Below are 21,815 nucleotides of genomic sequence, written 5' to 3' on the forward strand. Positions count from 1 at the left end.
TGCAAAAATGGCTAGGGGAAAATTTTAAAGTCTGAAATATTCATTACCTACTTACTAAAGTAGAAATTCCATCTGTGTGCCATAAAATTAAGTGATTCTAAGGAAAGTAATAGCTTTTAATATTCCTTCAGTAGGTCCTTTGTGACAGTTTCTGAGTTTGGCTAAAAAGAAGCAACACGGCTCTGATTTTCTTTCCAGAAGATGATGATTTTGGAATGGGAGCATTAATTTCCCTTTTGAATTGTGTACACAGCTACTTTCCCAAAAATACTGAAACTGAACATATCTTGTCCCTGTTTTCCTTCTGATTTCAGGACATATAATGATTTGCCTTCCGTAACTGCAGATGGGTGGGGGCCCTCCCCTTTCCCTTAGCACCCTTCTTAAATTCTTTGCTGGGATTAACATTAAGCCTAATTTGAATAGGAATTCACTCTCCTGTGTCGGGTGGCCAGCAAAACCGCAGGTTCTGCTGCTTTTCACATTAAATGGTGTCAAAAATTACTCGAGTTGAGGATGAGTGTCTTTCACTGCGTAGATGGAAAACATCTAGGACTGGACTGGATGCATCCCGGCCCAAGGCAACACCTCTAAATGTGCGTGCACAAAAACAATGCCTGACTTTCATGAGTTCTTCACAACTTATAAGATATATTGACGTAATAACTTGACATACACTATGATCTTAATGTTTATGCTCCCCCATCCCTAATTCATATGATGAACTCAAATCCCCAGAGTGATGGTATTAGGAGGTGGGGCCTTAGGGAGCTAATTAGGTCATGGGGGCAGAGCCCTCATGAATGGGATTAGTTCTTTTATAAAAGAGGCCAAGGGGAGACTCCTAGCTTCTTCCACCGTGTGAGGACACAGCCTCTAGCCATGCTAGATCTTTGATGCTGAATCTGCCAGTGCCTAAATATTGGATGTCTCAGCCTCTAGAATTATGATATATAAATTTCTGTTGTTTATAATCTACCCACTTTATTATACTTACTAAAAAAATAGTCCAAATACAATAAATATATAGTCCAAAAACAATAAATGTTTTCTTAGCTTGAATGGACCAAGAAAACATAATTGTTATTATTGTATCCTGAAACAATTGAGGTAGGCATGGCAGAGATTACTGTCTCCTCTGTACAGGATAAGGAAACTGAGGTATGAAAACAAAACTAAAAGAATTTTCCAAGTTCACTCATCCAGTAAGTGGTGGAAACAGAACTAAAACTCAAGCTTCTGAATCCTTTATTTTTGAGACAGAGTCTCACTCCGTTGCCCAGGCTGGAGTGCAGTGGCGCGATCTCAGCTCACTGCAATGTCCGCCTCCCAGGTTCAAGCAATTCTCCTGCCTCAGCCTTTCAAGTAGCTGGGCATGAATCACAATGCCCGGCTAATTTTTTTGTATTTTTAGTAGAGATGGAGTTTCACCATGTTGTCCAGGCTGGTCTCGAATTCCTGACCTCAGATGATTCACCTACCTTGGCCTCCCAAAGTGGTGGGATTACAGGCGAGAGCCACCGTGCCTGGCCCTGAATCCTTTCTAGGTTTTCTTCCTCCCAATTAAACCACATTTGTTCTATGCCACATTGGGTCATGCTAACATGGGGCTTTTTTTAATTATTATTTTTTTTACATTTAAAAAAAAATAGAGATGGGGGTCTCATTATGTTGGCTAGGTTGGTCTTGAACTTCTGGCCTCAAGCAATCCTCTTGCCTTGGCCTCCCAATGTGCTAGGATTATAGGTGTGAGCCACCGCGCCCAGCGCTATAATGGAGTTTTTAGATATCCACAAAGATGCAGCTACAGCAAAAATCAAAATGACGACAACAGATTTGGGAATGAGAATGAGGGCTCAAGGTGCAATTCTACTGCTTTACGGGACCTTGAAACTTTTAAGTCAAGTGATTTTGTTTTTCCAAGGGAAGCATCCTCCTCCCCACAAAACCCCCCAAAATGTTACACTCCAGAGTTTCACAAGCCTTTCTCTCAGTTGTGGGATAGAAAATCTGACTACTTTGTCCCAAATGAATGAAATAAATTTTTTCCTATGTTTAAAATTTTTTGACTCAATAAATTGGTTATTATTATATCTTCACTGTATGAAAAAAGAAACAAAAGCTTAGGACTTCCACATGTACCTTTTCTTTTTTTTTGAGACTGAGTCTCACTCTGTCACCCAGGCTAGCGTGCAGTGGCTCAATCTTGGCTCACTGCAGCCTCAGCCTCCTAGGTTCAAGCGATTCTCCTGCCTCAGCCTCCTGAGCAACTAGGATTACAGGTGCATGCCACCATGCCTGGCTAATTTTTATATTTTTAGTAGAGATGGGGTTTCACCATGTTGGCCAGGCTGTTCTCAAACTTCTGACCTCAAGTGATCCACCTGCCTCAGCCTCCCAAAGTGCTTGAATTACAGGTGTGAGCCACCGCACCTGGCTACCACATGTACTGTTTTTAAACTTTTCTGATTAAAACACACTGTACTGATATATTATTAGGGCAATACAAAAATTCTAAAGAATGAGATAAAAAATATAAATAACATTTCTCATATTTTCTTCTTTTATGTCTCCAGTGGATCAGTTGATTTACTGGAGTATGTGCAACCCACATTGGAAATTGCTGTTCTAAAATAGGAAGAAAATATTAATAGCAGACTATATTTATCAAGAACATATAAAACTTGTCACCTGTTTTTGTGACTCAATTTCACTAGTTCAAATCAAACACGGATTTCCAAGTACACATGTTAAGAATTAGAGCCTTAGACCTGCTTCATTCTGAAGGGAGAATTGTTACAATGAAGTAACTTGAAAAGATTAAATATATCAATATTAACCAATAATTTGGAGAATAATTCTCATTCTCCAATAATTTGGAGGTACTTTAACAAGAAGCATATAGAAAAAGTCCCTATGCATGAGGCTGTATGCCAATAACTGAGGCTGACTATAAGATTGAATGTTTATGTTCCCTTAAAATTCATATGTTGAAACCTACCTCTCAATCTGATGACATTAGGAGGTGGAGCCTTTGGGAGGTGAGTAGGTCATGAAGGCAGAGCCCTCAAAAATGGGACTAGTGCTTTATAAAAGAGAACCTGGAGACCTCCCTTGCTCCTTCTGCCACCTGAGTAAGAAGATGGCCATCTAGGCCAGGCACGGTGGCTCACGCCTGTAATCCCAACATTTTGGGAGGCCAAGGCAGGTGGATCACCTGAGGCCAGGAGTTCAAGACCAGCCTGGCCAACATGGTGAAAACCCATCTCTACTAAAAATACAAAAATTAGCCAGGCGTGGGGGCACGCACTTATAATCCCAGCTACTCAGGAGGCTGAGGCAGGAGGATCACTTGAACCCGGGGGGCAGAGGTTGCAGTGAGCCAAGATCGTGCCATTGCACTCCAGCCTGGGTGACAGAGTGAGACTCCATCTCAAAAAAAAAAAAAAAAAAAGAAGCAGATGGCCATCTATGAACAAGGAAGTGGACTCTCACAAGACAGTGAATCTGCCAACAGCTTGAGCCTGAACTTTCTAGCCTCCTGAACTGTGAGGAATAAATTTCTGTTGTTTATAAGCCAACAAGTTTATGGTATTTTGTTATAGTAGTCCGAATGGATTAAGACAGAAATTGGTACCAAGAAGTGGGAGTGTTGCTATAACAAATATCTGTAATGTGGAAGTGTCTTTGAAACTGAGTAATGGGTAGAAGCTGGAAAACTTTTGAGGTGCATGCTAGAAAAAGCCTACATTGCCATAAATAGTCCTTTGAAAGCAATGTTGATGAGGGCTCAGAAAGAAAAGAGAACAGTAGAGAAAGGATCAATCTTCTTAGAGAACACCTAAATAATCTTGAACAGAATGTTGGTAGAAATATGAAGAGTAAAAGCTGTTCTGATGAGGTCTCAGACAGAAAAGAAGAACTTGTTATTGAAAACTGGAAGAAGGTGGTCTCTATTATAAAGTCTTAAGGAACTTGGCTGAATTGTGTTCCTGTCCCAGTGTTTTGTGTAAAGTAGAACTTGCAAGAAATGAAATTGGATATTTGGCTGTGAATTTCTAAGTGAAGTGTTGAAGGAGTGGACTGGTTTCTCCTGACTGCTTATAATAAAATGAGAAAAAAGAAGTTATTTAAAGATGGGATGGTTCATCAAAAGGGAGGCAGAACTTAAAGATTTGGAAAATTCTCAGCCTATCCATATTGGAATGAGAAACCTGGTTTAAGAGAGAAAACTAAGGGGGTGGCCAAATGACTGTTTGATAAGGAGATTTGTCAACCATCTCAAAAGAAGCTACCAGCTATTCTCCAAGAGAATGGAGAACCCCTGGAGGCAATTCAGAAACCATCAGAGTTGTCCCTTCTATTGCAGGCCCATAGTACAAGGGTTGGGGGCAGGGAGGGATAGAATGGTTTCCAAGAAGAGGCTTGCTGATGCCTGGTGCCCGCAGGAGTTTGGCACACAGGCCTTGCCTCACATCAAGGACTCCATTCCCTACACTCCAGCTCTGTTCTCCTCAGCAACCCTAGGTAGCGTTCCGGTGGATCCCAGGGTGGCATGAGCTATGTTCAGCACAGCTGTCAGGCTATGGTTGTCCCCACCTAGATTTCAAAGGACGAGGCCTCCTGGTAGAGTCATGGACTAGGGACCCCAGCCCTGGAAAGCTGCAGGGTCAAGGCAGAGAACTGCCATGGGTACAGAGCTGCCTGAAGCCTTGGGCCAACCCCTGCCCAACAAGTCTGCAGGGGCCAGACTGCTGCCTCAATGGGTCTGATAGATGGGATCCATGCCCCAGTGGGCCTGGAGGGCAGAGCATCAGGTCAAAGTTTCTTCTCAAGCTCTGTTACTCCTTTCTTATTTACTGTTTTTCCCTTTTGGAATGGGAATGTTTATCCTATGCCTATCACACCACTGTATTTTGAAAGCACGTAACTCTTTCGGGTTCACAGGTTCACAGTGGACAGGATGAATTGCCTCAGGGTGGATTGCACCTTGACTCTTACCCATATCTGATTTAGATGATATTTAGAGGAGACTTTGGATTTTAGATTTTAGAATTAAAGATGGAACGAGTTAAGACTTTTGGTGCTGTTGGGATGCAGTGAGTGTATGTTATATGTGAGAAAAACATGAATTTTGCGGGGGTAAGTATGAAATGCTGTAGATTGAATGTTTAGGTGACACCAATGTTCATGAGTTAAAATCTAACCCCCAATATGATAGTATTAGGAGAGGAGGGCTTTGAGAGGTGATTAGATCCTGAAGACAGAACCCTCATGAATCATATTTGTGCCCTTATAAAAGAAACTGTTAAAAGCTCCCATGCCCCCTCTGCCATATGAGGACACTGTGAAAAGATGGTGGTCCATGAACCAGGAAGTCAGCCCTCACCAGAATCTGCTGGCAACTTGATCCTGGACGTCCTCAACTCCAGAACTGTGAGAAATAAATTTCGTGGTTTTTTTTTTTTTTTTTTTTTTTTTTTTTTTGAGGCAAAGTCATGCTCTGTCTCCCAGGCTGGAATGCAGTGGCACAACTTCAGCTCACTGCTACCTCTGCCTCCTGGGTTCAAGCAATTCTTGTGCCTCAGCCTCCCAAGAAGCTGGGATTACAGCAGTGTGCCACCACGCCCAGCTGATTTTTGTATTTTTAGTAGAGATGGGATTTTACCATGTTGGCCAGGTTGGTTTCAGACTCCTGGCCTTAAGCAATCTGCTTGCCTTGGCCTCCCAAAGTGCTGGGATTACAGCTGTGAACCACCCTGCCTGGCCTTTGTTGTTTATAAGCCATCTAATTTAGGGTACGTTATTATGGTAGCCCAAGTGGACTAAGACAAGGATCTAAAGCCTTCTCTCATGTACTGTTTTAATGACTTCCATAACTCAACATCAGAGAAAGTATCCAGAGAACATGAGAAAATTAAAGTTTTGTGGAGAATGAAAGTGAGCACATGAATAATTTCTCACCCCACGCAAAGGGTATTTGCAACCTCACTGTTTTATTTGTTCTTTACCACAGCTTTGTGATTTTGGCACATTTTTTCCCATTTCTTTTGGTGAGAAAAATGAAGCTCAGAGAGATTAAGTGACCTGTGCAAGATTGCCTAGCCAGTAAGGGTGGATTCTACGCTGCTCATGGTAAATCTGGACTCTTCTCTGTGACAGTCTGCCAAACACCTGGTTATGCATCCTTCCTTGTCATTCCTGAAGTGAAAAATGAAGGCAAGAAATGCTCCTGAAGTGAAGAATCAGGTATTTTTTCCCTCCAAAGGACTAAACCTAGTAGTGTGGCTAAGAATCCTTAGGAAACTTGGCAAAAGACCAACAGAGGCAAAGCAAATTAGTGGAAGATGCAGGAAGAAAAGTATGGAGGACTCAGTAAAAACCTTGCATGAAGATAAGAAATATAAATTATATTTTGTCAAAACCAACAGTTTTTTCAAATATAGAAGAAAGGGCAAGAGTGGAATTTGGATTTATATCCAAATTCCATCTCTCTAGGGCCTGTGCTGTTAACCATTTGCTATACTGAGACTCAGAGGAGAAAAAGAGCCTCGGCAGTGGGGGATCCTTTGACCAGATAGGACATGGTGGATTTTCATTTTTGGCTCTGTGGAAATTCTGTTGTTTCAATGCCCATACAATCAACAAATGACAAGCGAATTGATGACTTAGCTATCTAAAAGCACCTCATGGACATTTCTGCTTCCTTGTGCACTGTGTATGGAAGTGCACATCATCTTGTTCGCTGGTGATTTGTGTTTTCTGGGTTCTGATGTTCTAGCACACTCAGATAGGAAAGGCCAAGAGAACTAAAATGATGGGCGCCCTCTCCAGTTTCGGAAGGAGATAGATTAGAATGGAGGGGCAGGAAAGAAGTGGGAATCGGGTTGTCTGAGGAGGTGGAGAGAGTTCCCAGTAATTACTGGGCTACAGGTGTAGGGGTAGCTCTCTGTATCCCAGTAACTACTCAGAACAGGTAAGGGGTAGCCCCTCAATTGTTCTTAACCAGGCGTGGGTCATCCTCATCAAGCACTTGGAAATGAATGGAGGATTTTTTTTGTTGCCAATTACTTGGGTGTGCTATGATATTTAATGCCCAGGGTCAGAGAAGCTAAACGTCCTGCCATGCCTAAGTCAGGCTTACATAAAGTAGAATGATCTTTCCTCAAATGCTGATACCACCCCTATTGAAATTTACTGTGAGCTAGTCCTACTGACCTCAAAGACATTCTGGTGTCAGCAGTTGAAGAATGAGGGAAAAGCATAAAGAAGGTTTGAAAAGATTCTGGGAAGAAACTAGATGTATCTTTAATATGTTTTATTCATATGGTTAGAGTGTGTGTGTATAAGAGATAGATCTATTTGACCGGGTGCAGTGTCTCATGCCTGTAATCCCAGCACTTTGGGAGGCCAAGGCGGGTGGATCATGATGTCAGGAGATCAAGGCCATCCTGGCCAACATGGTGAAACACTGTCTCTACTAAAAATTAAAAAAAAAATTAGCTGGGCGTGGTGGCATGTGCCCATAATCCCAGCTACTCTGGAGGCTGAGGCAGGAGAATTGCTTGAACCTGGGAGGCAGAGGTTGCCGTAAGCCGAGATCACACCATTGCACTCCAGTCTGGCGATAGAGCAAGACTCTGTCTCAAAAAAAGAAAAAAAAAAAAAAAAAAAAAAAAGAGATAGATCTTTTTGAAGGGTCTTGTGTTATGTTAAGAAAATTATTAAATTATCTCATACATGTTTACATTTATGTGATCTGCTAATGTGATTTAAAATTCGGTTATTATGTTGATATGGTTTGGATTTGTGGCCCCACTTAAATCTCATGTTGAATTGTAATCTCCATTGTTGGAGGAGTGGCCTGGTGGGAAGTGACCGGATCTTGGGGTTGGCTTTTAATGGTTTAGCACCATCCTCCTAGTGCTGTCTTGTGATAGAGTTCTCACAAGATCTGGTTGTTTGAAAGTGTGTAGCAACTCCTCCTCTGCTCTCTCTCTCCTGCCGATCATGTGAAGGTGTATCTACTTTCCCTTTGCCTTCTGCCATGATGATAAGTTCCCTGAGACTTCCCCAGAAACAGAAGCCTGTACAGCCCATAGAACCATGGGCAGATTAAACCTCTTTTCTTTATAAAATTACCCAGTCTCAGGTATGTCTATAGCAGTGTGAGAATGGACTCATACAGATGAATTGTTCTTTTAATGCATTGTCAAAATTCATTTGATGTCATTTTTAAATGTTTGCATCTTTATTCATAAGTGAAATTTGCCTATAGTTTTCTTTTTTTGAATTATCTTTATTATGCTATGTTAATAGCACAATAATGCATAACATAAATAAAATGAATTGCCTGGTTGAGAATGGAGAAAATAAATTAGGAATTATTTGTACTTTAAAACTTAAATATAATTCAGCTGTTGTATTTTCTGGGCTTAGTATCTTTTAAAAAATGGCAGACCTTTACTTAGCTTTCCAGTGTTTTCTGTGATGACTGATCTGGTCAGATTTTCTATCTCTTACTTGGCAAAACATAGTAGTTTTTATTTTGGTAGAAAACTAACCATGTCCTCTAAATTTTCAAATTTATCACTGTCCCTAAAAAACAGAGGCTGAAGCAAGACAAGTGGTAAGGTTTTATTGAAAGGTGATATTCTGGGATAGAGAGACACGGAACAGGGAAACAAGAGAAAGAAGGATGGAAAGCAAATGGAAACTGGCATGTTACCAAGCTGGCCACCGCCTCATGAACTGTGAAGAATATGATGTCCACTCAGACAGGACAATACCAGACAGGCTGTACATACAGAAAAGACATGTTGGAATAGTCCACTGGAGGGGGAAAGAGAGATGGATTGCTCCATTACCTTCCTTCCGTCTCATTTCTCTCCTATTGGTCAATGTTTGCCTCATGGCGAGTTCAGTCCATGCACTTTTAGGTGGTATCACCTGGCTTCTTTGGGCAGCTGCTGCGGAGGCCACGTCCCACCCTGTGGAATGCCAATTCTTTGGAGTCTGCATTGGAGTTTAGAAGGGCAGGAGGAATCGGAACCTACACGGGTCCGACTGAATTGCGCCAAGAGGTGCCAGAGCTTCTGCAGCTTCTGGCATGATGAGAAGGCATTAGGAAGGCCATGTTTCCAGAGCCTAGCATTCACCTCAGGACAGAATGAGATAGCCAGAGATGTCAGTAGATGCGGTGGTGGTGGCAGCAGGGGCAGTTGTGTGCCTGAGAGACAGGTGAAGCTTTGGGAATCTGAGGTGACTATAACATGTCTCTGAAATAATTTCCATAGATATGCATGTATATTCTTTTTTTTTTTTTTTTTTTTTGAGACGGAGTTTTGCTCTCGTTGCCCAGGCTGGAGTGCAATGGCGCGATCTCAGCTCACTGCAACCTCCACCTGCCAGGTTCAAGTGAGTCTCCTGTCTCAGCCTCCCGAGTAGCTGGGATTACAGGCATGCACCACCACGCCTAGCTGATTTTGAATTTTTAGTAGAGACCGGGTTTCACCATGTTGTCCAGGCTGATCTTGAACTCCCAAACTCAGGTAATCCACCCGCCTTGGCCTCCCAAAGTGCTAGAATTACAGGCATGAGCCACTGCACCCGGCCTAAAGTGCTTTTCAAAAGAACTGGTACTTCCCTTAGTCTTTAAATATTTCTCAGGGCCCTGGTAAAGACCTGGAGACCTGGACCTTTTTAGGAGACAAATCTGGGGACAGATAAGTTAGTTGCATATGATAATTTTAGTTTATTATTGGGAGACAAAGTTGGGGACAGATAAGTTAGTTGCATATGATAATTTTAGTTTATTACTCTCATCTCTCTAGATCTTTTTTTTTTTTTTCCTTCTCATTGCATGATCTGGGAACTCAGCCTCATTTAGCATAGGTGACGACTGACTCCAGATTTGAGTTAAGCAACCAAGAAAACAGCTGAAAGCCATGTGGGTTACCTAGAACTCGTATATTGGATCCAGAATTTTTGGCATTTGTTTCCATGTTTATAAGTTTAGAAAATCTAAAATTATGTTCCGTTCCCTCTAATCTGTCATTCCCAGAATCCCTTTTTACATTTATTCTCCAGGTTTCTGGTGATATAAATTAGTCAATTCTTGTAATTTATTGTTGTTGTATATTTCATGGTTTGACTTTGTAACTTATCTTAAAGGGCATGTTGGATTACGTCTTTAGTCATGAGTATAGAAGCAAGGAGGAGAGAGGCTTGGGGGGAATTGGCACCCCTTGAGAAGCAACTACCTTAGGAGAGGTATTTAAAAATCAAGGCTCCTATATTGTCAGGAGCAGACTTAACTTAATGGACAAGGAAATTATTTCATCTGGCAAGAGAGGCTTAGTAGTTTTAAGGGTTTTGGATGCCATTGGACTCCATTCCAACTCTTAGGGCCCCACTCTTTCTCAATTAGCTACTTAACAGAGGGCTGTGAAAGCAACCTACTTTGCAATTGGGCAAATTCTGTCTGAGTTTCAGTAGTCTTGGCCAAACAACTGCAAGATATAGGGGACTCTTTTTTAGGGTAGTCATAGAAACCCTTTAATCGTGATTGTGCCTTGAGCTGATAACTTTAATATTGAGCTTGGAATTTTCTTTATTTAAGCTTTCCTGTGTGGAAGCAGGAGTCATTCAGTCTTGCCAACAGAAGGTTACCTCATTCCAGGTTACTGCAGGTGATCACGTAAGGAACACTTTCGTCCCATGTAAGATGAACTACCAGTCCTGTAATGATAATAGGATCGTCACTGCTTTCAAATCCAACTGAGGAAAAAAAATTAGTCCAAGATTCTTACTTCTTTGCGTGTCTGTTGACAGCAAAATGTTTGGCCTTAGTTATTCTGTGGTTTACTGTTCTTAGTTTGAATCCCTCTTGCTAGTTGTAACAGAAAGGGCTTTATTAAAGGGTGTTAGGTAGCTCACAGAATTTCTGCAACGACTAGATCATCAGGCTTTGACATTACAAATGCAAACATATTTCAAGTTCTACCAATTATATTTAAAGGAAATCCAGCCTGTCCCTCTTTCAGGGCCCTAATACCATTTCCTTTTACCCTGACAATAATTTCCAGTGAAGACAGTTTTGCAGATACATGTTATCCAGTCGTTTCCTTAATCCCTTTGGCTTATGTTACTATTATAAAGGTTAGGCAAAGATAATAAAACTAAAAGGCAAATGCCACACTCACCTTTAATTGGCAAGGAAACATTGCATAAAATGTTTTATAAACACTATCCTGTAACAACAGGATAGTAGCCAGGAATTTACATATTTGTTCTTGCTTTTCCCTAAAAAGATTGGCAATTGATTCTGATTTACCTTTGTGTAAACTTCAGCTTTTGATAGTTAGCAGACTTTTTTTGCGCTGAGCTTGAAGAGTTGGTGGTTTTACTTTTAATTTTTAAGGAAAATAACCACCCTAGTGCCTTTTGATTCTCTGGAAACCCAAGTCCTGTTTTATTAAAGCCAATTCTTCAGTAAAAGAACATTGGCAAAGGACTATTTTCTGTACTTCTTTCAAAATGACCTTGGGGTCCCATGCATAAAGTTTTTGGAATTTAAAAAAAAACCCTGGTAATTGATGATTTTAGGTTAAGTGACCAGATTCCCGGCAATCAGATCTTTTAGGCAAAGAAACTCTATTTTTTATCTCCAAAACACTCTTTAATAGAACAGGAAACAAACATGAAAGGAAGGCCTAAAGGAAGGTTGGCTGTTTATTCTGGTTATAGTGTTCAGATAATTGTTCCATTATTTGCCTCCCTTTTTTGCTAATGCTGATGCCCCAAGAACAATTATTTTGTTCTCTTAGAAGTAGACCGTGGTTTTAGAAGATTTACGCAGTGAGGGAGAGGTAAACTCATACAAAATCTTTACCTAATATGTTGTGAGTTTACTATCCCATGAGGTTCCATCTCCATCTAAGAAGCGTTTCAAGAGACTTATCTTTTTGTATTTTTTTTGAGACAGAGTTTCACTCTTGTTGCCCAGGCTGGAGTGCAATGGCGTGATCTTGGCTCATTGCAACCTCTGCCTCCCAGGTTCCAGCGATTCTCTTGCCTCAGCCTACTGAGATGCTGGGATTATAGGCTAGTGCCACCACGCCTGGCTAATTTTCGTATTTTTAGTAGAGACGGGGTTTCACCATGTTGGTCAGGCTGGTCTTGAACTCCTGACCTCAAGTGATCCAACCGCCTCGACCTTCCAAAGTGTTGGGATGATGGGCGTGAGCCACAGCGCCCAGCCTGTATTAGTCCCATTTTAGGCATTACTGCTTGAATGTTTTGCATAAAAAGTGAGTCAGTGATTCATCAGTTTTTCAGGTTATTCTATTGTCGCTTCATTTTGTAAGTTTCTGGGTTCTATCCGTAATGCTTCATGTCTCAATTGATTTGTTAGAAGAGGAAATTGGTTTCTTGAATTGGTTTGAAAACCTTTAGGATAAAAACTCAAGTTAAAAATTTTTATCAAGGACATAAATATGTACAAAGCACTGTGTTAGACTTTTGGAAACAGAAAAGAATTTATGATTTAGTAATCTTGATAGAAGCAAATGAAATAATAAACAGTTGCCTAGGTGAAGCTAATCCTTTGCTTTGAAGATTTTCAGGCTAAATCAACTCATTAAGGGCTGGTCTTATGATTATTAAAAACATATAATTACCCATGAGGTATGATAGGAGAGGTATTCTGAATATATTCACACATGTGTGCTCCATGTCCCCAGTTCCCCAAGCTCAAGGCCTTGTAATTTGGTCTAAAATTTTACAGTTAGGGATTTCATTCCTTTGAGATCTAGTAGCTTTTTAGACTTTATGAGCGCTCTATTAAAGTTCAAGACTTTTTTTTTTTCTCTTTCCAATTTTTATTTTAGGTTCAGAGGGTAAATGTGCAGGTTTGTTACATGGGCAAATTGCATAACATAAGGGTTTGGTGTGCAGATTATTTTATTATCCAGGTAACAAGCATGGTACCTGATAGATAGTTTTTCAATCTTCACCCTCCTCCCAGTCTCCACCCTCAAGTAGGCCCAGGTGTCTTTTGTTCCCTTCTTTGTGTCTATGTGTACTCAATGTTTAGCTCCCACTTATGAGTGAGAACATGTGGTGTTTTCTGTTCCTGTGTTAGTTTGCTTAGGATAATGGCCTCCAGCTGCATCCACATTGCTACAAAGGGCATTATCTCATTGTTTTTTATGGCTGCATAGAATTCCACAGTGTATATGAACCACATTTTCTTTATACAGTTTACTGTTGATGGGCATTTAGGTTGATTCCATGCCTTTGCTATTGTGAATAGTGCTGCAACGAACATACACATGCTTGTGTCTTTATGGTAGAACAATTTATATTCCTTTGGCTACATACCCAGCAATGGGATTGCTGGATCAAATGGTAGTGCTGTTTTAAGTTCTTTGAGAACTCTCCAAACTGAATTCCGCAATGGCTGAACTAATTCACATTCCTGTGAGCTGTGTATAAGCATTCCCTTTTCTCTGCCACCTTGCTGGCATCTGATATTTTTTGCCTTTTTAGTAATAGCCATTCTGACTGGTATGAGATGGTAACTCATTGTGATTTTGATTTGCATTGATCTGACGATCAGTGATGTTGACCATTTTTTCATCTGCTTGTTGACCACATGTAAGTCATCTTTTGAAAAGTGTCTCTTCATGTCCTTTACCCATTTGTTAATGTTTTTTTTTTCTTCTTAATTTGTTTAAGTTCCTTATAGGTGCTGGGTATTAGACCTTTGTTGGATGCATAATTTGCAAATATTTTCTCCCTTTCTGTAGGTTGTTTACTCTGTTGATAATTTCTTTTGCTGTGCAGAAGCTCTTTAATTAGGTACCATTTGTCAATTTTTGTTTTTGTTGCAACTGCGTTTGGGGTCTTCATTATGAAATCTTTTCCAGGGCTGATGTCCAGTATGGTATCTCCTAGGTTTTCTATAATTTTAGGCTTTACATTTAAGTCTTTAACCATCTTGGATTGATTTTTGTATATGGTGAAAGGAAGGGGTTTAGCTTCAACCATCTGCACATGGTTAGCCTATTATCCCAGCACAATTTATTGACTAGAGATTCCTTTCCGCATCGCTTGTTTTTGGCAGCTTTGTCAAAGATCATATGGTTGAAGGTATGCAGTATTATTTCTGAGTTCTGTAACCTGTTCCATTGGTCTATGTGTCTGCTTTTGTACCATTACCATGCTGCTTTGGTTACTGTAGCTTTGCAGTGTAGTTTGAAGTTGGGTAGTATGATGCCTCCGGCTTGGTTATTTTTACTTAGTATTGTTTTTGCTATTCAGGCTCTTTTTTGGTTCCACATGAATTTTAGAATAGGTTTTTCTAATTTTGTAAAAAATTAGAATTTTTCTAATTCTGTAAAAGTTTGATAGGAATAGCACTGAATCTGTAAATTGCTTTGGGCAGTATGGCCATTTTAACCATATTGATTCTTTCTATCCACGAGCATGGAAACTATTTCCATTTGTTTGTGTTGTCTCTGATTTCTTTGAGCAGAGTTTTGTAATTGTTGTTGTAGGGATCCTTCACCTCCCTGGCTAGCTCTATTCCTAGGTATTTTATTTTTGTTGTGGGTATTGTGAATTGGATTGCGTTCTTGATTTGGCTTTCAGCTTGGATATTGTTGATATGTAGAAATGCTACTGATTTTTGTACATCATTTTTGTATTCTGAAATTTTGCTGAAGTTGTTTATCAGATCTAGGAGCTTTTGGGCATAGAGCGTGGGATTTTCTAGGTATAGAATGATATCATCTCCAGAGAGAGAGAGTTTGACTTCCTCTCTTCCTATTTGGATGCCTTTTATTTCTTTCTCTTGCCTGATTGCTCTGGCTAGGATTTCCAGTACCACGTGAACAGGAGTGGTGAGAGTGAGCATCCTTGTGCTGTTCTGGTTCTCAAGGGAATGCTTCGAGTGTTTGCCTATTTAGTATGATATTGGCTGTGGGTTTGTCATAGATGGTTCTTATTATTTTGAGGTATGTTCCTTCAGTGCCTAGTGGTGGATTAGCAGTAGGTGGGGGATACAGGTGAGTGTGTGCCAGCAAAGTGGTGGGGGGAGGCCAGGGGTGGGTGTGCACTGTGGTAGGTGAGGTTAGTCTGTGAAGGAGCTATGGTGGGGCCAATGGGAAGTGCTCCCTTCTGGCATCTGACGCTGCCCTGCAAGTGGGTACTGCTGGGCAGAGAACCTGAAAAAGGCGGGCAGACTGTGGGCTACTCAAATCAGATGGGGCCCATCCCATGGACAAGATAGCCATGTTCTGTCCAGCTCCATCAGTGAACAAAAGTCAAACCACCTGGAGGAGCTTGGCAAGCCTTGGCGGATGGGTGTCCCTAGCCAGTGCTCCACCTCAGCTGTTCCATGCCAAACCTTCTGGTCTCATCACAAGCTAGAGTTCTGTCCCTGCCACCTCTCCAAACAGCTCTGTCAGCTCAAATGTCCACGAGGGTCGTGGGCTCTCCTGCAACTACGAGGTTCTTGGTGAGAGTGGGCCACTCCTCGCCTGTTTAACTCAAACCATGCAAAGGAGTCGCTGGGGGTCAGGAATGAGTTCTGGTGCTCTGTAGTCCGGTGCAGGGTTCCCAGCTTCCTTCCCCTTCAGCCCAGAGTTTATGTCTTCCTTCGGTACACTCTCAATGCCTTTCTTATTTGATCTGCTGGGAGTGTACTGGTCTGCTTGATGGTCTTGTCTTGTGGTGGGAGATGCTCTCCTGGCAGTGACTAGTTGACCATCTTGGCTTTTTCCTGAATCAAAGTTCAAGACTTTGACTACATCTATGTGAGTTTCTAGGAGGGAATACCTTAAAGAGTTTGCTCACACCTAAGGGAGGAGAGTGGACAGCTAGCTGAGAGCAGCACTGAGGATTGAGAGGCTCTCTGGGATGGAAAGGAACCTGTTTTCTACCTTGGAACTCTTAGTCTTCCCTTCCTGAATGTGTCTTACCTGAACTTTGAATTTCTTTAAATTTTACTGCAGAACATATTGTTTGCGTTTCACATTTGTTTCCATGTTGCCATATAATTGCTCCCTAGCTCTGTTGAAAACATATTTTTGTTTTGGACGTGCACGCATGCACTTGTCTCAAACCAAACAACTAACGCAGGAGTGGAGATAGAGATGATCTCTTGGACTTCGGTGTCTAGTGCAGTAGTAGTTAGAGGTCAGAGTTCAGAATAAATGACTTTTGTGTCCTGTCTGGGAATAGAATTTGACAACGTAGTGAGTAATTTAGGAAGTGGCAAAGTTGTGTTTCTGTCTCTAAGTCCAGTATTCACTTTCATACCCAAGAAGCTGTCTGTTTTGTTTTGTTCACAGGAAGGAAATAAAAGGATCAGGGCCCAGAATATAAGCTTTACCTATTCCATAACTCATCTTAGCTTTTCTGTATGTGTGTAATACAAATTAAACCTTTATTTTCTTCTGGATATCCTAATCTCTGATTTTTCTTGGAGCTCTGGAGAGATAGCATCCTAATTGCCTAAAACTTGTTTCTCTCAGAATCTCTGTTTTTTCTTCAACCAGTAGGATTGGGCAGCATTGTGTCAGAAAAGCTGGACATTCTTGTCCAGCTGAGTCTTTGGAGGAAATGCTGTTTTTTATTGATTGACACCACTGGAGAGGAACCCCTTGGAAATGACAGATTTGGGATGTAAGGGTTACATTTGCTTTTGTTATGATGTCTGACTTTTATGATCCTTAAGACTGAACTGTTGCCCAGCCGAAATAGCTCAGTTGGGAGAGCGTTAGACTGAAGACTGAACTGTGAAATAATTTTTTATTTGAAATCAGCTCATTTTTTAAATACTTGTAGCTCTTAAAGCGATAATTTAATACCACATTAATTATGTTGCAGCAGTAATTGTGTAGGAATGCTAGGCTGTTATGATTGGTATTTCTATGATTGGTATTTATATATTCTTTCCATGAGGGTATTTATTATCAGGTTCATTCATAGCAGTGATTTAGAGTACCCCACATCAAGTGTTTTTCTTTGCATCTTTGCCTTCTCCCATTCTCTCCTTCTCCACTGTCCTTTTCACTACCCTTGTTGGGTCTTTAAGCTGAGGCTGGGGTCATACTGGTTAACGTCTTTGTGCAAATGGATCTCTGACCACATTTCACAGTGAAATCAGAGAGTTTTGTAGGTTTGTTTAATCTATAGTTGCTTTTGGTTCCTGCTATGAAAATGAACATTTAAAAAATTGGTCAACTGTCTAGGTGTGGTGGCTCACACCTGTAATCCCAGGACTTTGGGAGGCCAAGGTGGGTGGATCACCTGTGGTCAGGAGTTCCAGACCAGTCTGGCCAAGATGGCGAAAACCCGTCTCTACTAAAAATATAAAAATTAGCTGGGCTTGGTGGCACGTAATCCCAGCTACTCGGGAGGCTGAGGCAGGAGAATCGCTTGAACCCCAGAGGTGGAGGTTGCAGTGAGCCGAGATAGCGCCATTGCACTCCAGCCTGGGTGACAAGAGCGAAACTCCGTCTCAAAAAAAAAAACATAAATAAAATAAAATAAATAAATAAAAAATAAAAAAATAAAATAAAATAATTCGTCGATTATATGATGTAAATAAAAGATTTCCATCTAGCTAAGGGTTCAGTCAGCCTTAAAAAAAAATACCTTACTTGCAAAACCAGTTTCCATTCAAGAACCAGGAAGCACCAGAGAGCTTTGATTCACATGTTAATTTTGCATTAGAAGATTAATCTTCACACTCTGATTTTATTGAGGCCCAGATGAATCCCATCTCCATGACTATGGCTTGAATTCCAGGAATATAGGCATGCCTTTTTTGTTTTCCTGCTTTTTCACGGATATATTTGAAAATCACTGTGGTCTAAATGTTTAATTCTGGAAGAACCAAAGTGATAAAGAGCTGGAATTGCTTTATACTCTACCATCTGTTTTGCCATTTGTCTTCTGTAAGGAGAGCATTACATCGGGCCTCCCCACCTAGTTCTCTTTGAGGCTCTGATTTAGCACATACCAGAAAGAAATGAACCATATGCAGGTCTTTCCGGCCAGTGAGATTTTGTTGCCATTTAAAAAAATAACGGTCTTCTATTGAGCAATAAGTTATATCAGAGGGCAATTCACTGGTCTTTATTCCCAATTTGTGTACAAACTCTGTAGTAAAACATTTGTGAGTATACCATGTGGTGAAATGAAGTTACCTATTGCATAGATAGCAGGCTGTATTTGGATAGGACTTCCTTGTGTTTGCTTATTTGGTTTACCCTCAAATTGGTTAATGTTTCAAGAGTATTTTAGAAGTGAAACAAGGGAAAACCTAGAAAAATATGATTTCTAAGCCTCTTACTTCATAGGGGTACACAGCAGCCTGTGGGTTTAGCTCTATGCATGTGAACACAAAAAGAAGACAGCTGCTAGATACCATAAAATAGTTAAGTTCTCCATCTGGTTTGCAATATGGGTGAAGATTTGCTGCAAATCTGGGTTGACTGCCATGCCCCAGTTAGTTTACAAATACACTGGTCCTTTTAGTTATAGAACATGAAGAGTGGTCCTAAGTGCCCAAGTATTAAACTCTTATACAAGCATTCAGCAAAAATGGGGTAAAGATGAAAGCAATACCACTTTATTTAAAATGTGCTCTACTTAATTTCTAAAAGTCTGGCAAAGAATAGAAAAATCTTAGGTCTAGTTTAAGTTGGGGATGACAGTGAAATGAAAAGGAACACATATATTTGTGTTACAATTGAAGCTGGCATAATACATAAGATTTAGCACTTTGAATATAATGTTTTTTCATTGAGAACATTATTTTTCTTAACAAAACAACCAATATTTTTGTAATTTATAATTAATATATGACAATCCCTGTAATTCTGGTATCAGAAGATCTGGTAAAATCTAATATGTTCCGTGTGTTGTAAGATTTTTACTTTCTGAATATAAATAAAGTCATAGTATCATTGAATGCTTTTATTCATTCAAAATCAGTTATTGAAGCAATCTCTGGGTAGCTGAGGTAATGCTGGCAGTCTAAATTCAAATGTCTTCACGAATTCTCCAGAAAAACAATAGCGATTTATGAGAAAAAAGAAATCCACGCGAATCCTATGCTTGCAGTATTATTCAAAGACTGAAGGCACTACAAATTTCAGATTACTTGAGTGTACAAAAATGAACACCTATTTCCCGTAGAGTTTTCTCTGAAGCTCTGTTGAAAGACTTGTGGACTGTTGTGGGTGGGGTAAGGGGTCTAAAACATTGCACAGAAGATAGAAGAGGAAATGAGATAAAATCACTTCCAGAAATAGAAGGTCCACCCTAAATTTTTTTTTTAAAAACTGAAAAAAATTCTAAAAACCAACAGCCATGAAGCAAAAAATATATTCTAAACTGAAATAAATAATCCCAAACATGCACTTCAAGATATTAAAAGGCATCTTGAAACAGAAATTCAAAAACTAAGAATAAGAATGAGCAAAAATTGTTCTGTGGTGAGCAGGTGCATGAAATCATACTCCCAAAGGTTGAGGGAGCTGAGAGGCTGAAGAAAAGAGGTTAACAAATTCAGTTTCTCAACAAGAAATATTTTATAGGGACTCGCCAACAGAAGCAATGTCCTGGGCAATCGGGAGGTGGTGGATCCCTGCACTCACCCTCCAGAAAGTACTCTTTATAGAACAAGCAATTTACGGTAAAATGCGTGCAGCTGGTTACATCTTCAGACTTTTTTTTGCCACAATATGTGGCTACTATGTGGATTATATCAGCAGCTTTATGACGAGTAATCTACGCTCCAGGCATTGATGACCTTGCTGCAGAACACCTTGGTAGGTGGGGGTTAAACGTCTGTCATCATGGCAGTGTCCCTTCAAGATGGCACCACTGGCCCGGCGCCGTGGGTCACGCCTGTAATCCCAGCACTTTGAAAGGCAGAGGCGGGCGGATTACTTGAGGTCAAGAGTTCGAGACCAGTCTGCCCAACATGGCGAAACCCCGTTTCTACAAAAAATGAAAAAATTAGCAGGGCGTGGTGGTGCATGCCTGAAATCCCAGCTACTCAGGATGCTGAGGCAGGAGAATCGCTTGAACCCAGGAGGCGGAGGTTGCAGTGACCTGAGATCATGCCACTGCACTCCAGCCTGGGCAACAGAGCGAGACCCTGTTTCAAAAAAAAAAAAAGAAAAAAAAGAAAAAGAAAGGTGGCATCATGGCATCACTCCTACCATGCAAGAGGCTGTTCTTCTACAAAAAGAGAAATAAAATTACAGTTGTTTGAATCTAGGAAAGAAAAAGAAGAAACCCAAATATCAGACAGGAAAGACTAAATTCTTAGATATAACAAGGTACCTAAGAGAAAATATATTTGAATGAAAATTCAGCAAAAGGAAAAGTAGAAAAACAACTAAGAGAGTGAAAATGAAATAATAAAAGAAATAAAAAGGGTTAGGGTAAAATGATTGGAATGGAAGATAAGCAAAAAAAAAAAAGTTGCTCTAGGCATAACTGGAATTCCAGAAGAACAACAAAATAATGGAATAGTATAAAATAATTAAAACCATAATTCTAGAAAACCTTCTGGAAATAAAAAAAGGACTGACTTCATATATATATGTACATATGTATACACAAATATATGTGTGTGTGTGTGTATATATACATATGTGTGTATATATATATGTGTGTATATATATATATGTGTATATATATATATATATGTGTGTATATATATATATTTTTTGAGACAGGGTCTCGCTATGTTGCCCAGGCTGGTCTCAAACTCCTGAGCTCAAGAGATCCTCCTGCCTTGGCCTCCCAAAGTGCTGGGATTACTGGCATGAGCCACCACTCCCAGCCTGACTTTATATTGAAAGAATTTAGTAGGTACTTGGGAATAATGACCTGGAACAACAAACTCTGAGGCATGTCCTAGTAAAATTATTTATTTCAAGATAGAGACAAAAATTCTTCATGGCTTTTAGGCAGAAAGGTCAAAGAACAAGATAATTATACTGGCATCAGATTTCTCACAAGCAACAGAGAAAACAAGGCAACTGAACAGCCTTTTCAAGAAAATCAAGGAAATAAAGTGTGAACCAAAACTTTATATCCAATTAAGCTCTTGTTTAGCTGTCAAGGCTATAGAAAAGCAATTTTAAACATGACAGAAATGAAGGAACACTCTCCTAAGGAGCTATTTTTGAAGAGTCCACTAGAGGATGATTTTCATCCAACCAAAAATATGACTGGAAAAACTTTGACAAAAGGACTAATGGTAAGAAATTAATATCTTTCATGAATCATTTAGAGAATAAGTTGAGACATCATGCCGCTTTAGCCCTAAATACTTCAGGGTGTATATACTAATAACAAAAATTTTGTCTTTCATAACCTCAGTACAATTGCCAAAATTAGGATTGTAACATGGATTGAAGTACTGTGTACATGTATGAGAGAGAGACTGATCCAGACTCCCGGGTCACAAATCCCTATTAGCACTCGTGACTTTCTTTCGTCTGCAACCACTCTGTAGTCCTTTTTTTGGTCTTTCACGACCTTCATGTTTTTGAAGAATATAGACTAGTTATTGCATAGAATGCCCCTCAATGTGAGTTTGCCTGATGTTGGGCTAATTCATGATATTTCTTCACGATTAGATTTGGGTTATGCTTTTGTTCTTTTCTTTTTTTTTTCTTTTGAGACAAAGTCTCGTTCTGCCGCCCAGGCTGGAGTGCAGTGGTGCGATTTCGGCTCACTGCAACCTCCGCCTCCTGGGTTCAAGCGATTCTCCTGCC

The 21,815-nt window shown here is 40.2% G+C and overlaps 1 long non-coding RNA gene across 3 annotated transcripts in view; it reads left to right on the top strand.

The window, feature by feature from the left end:
• LOC101928387 (uncharacterized) overlaps positions 1–21,815 on the top strand; it is a 120,046-nt gene that overhangs the window by 44,021 nt on the left and 54,210 nt on the right. For 2 of the 3 annotated variants that reach the window (XR_001749036.2, XR_001749035.2), the window contains exon 1: positions 5,725–6,249. The exons of the other annotated variant lie outside the window; for it this stretch is intronic. This is a non-coding gene — a long non-coding RNA (uncharacterized LOC101928387). Of the gene's footprint in view, positions 1–5,724; positions 6,250–21,815 lie in introns of those variants that run through there. 3 annotated transcript variants of the gene reach the window in all.

This window comes from Homo sapiens, chromosome 12, assembly GCF_000001405.40.
Source record: "Homo sapiens chromosome 12, GRCh38.p14 Primary Assembly".
Lineage (NCBI taxonomy): Eukaryota > Metazoa > Chordata > Mammalia > Primates > Hominidae > Homo > Homo sapiens.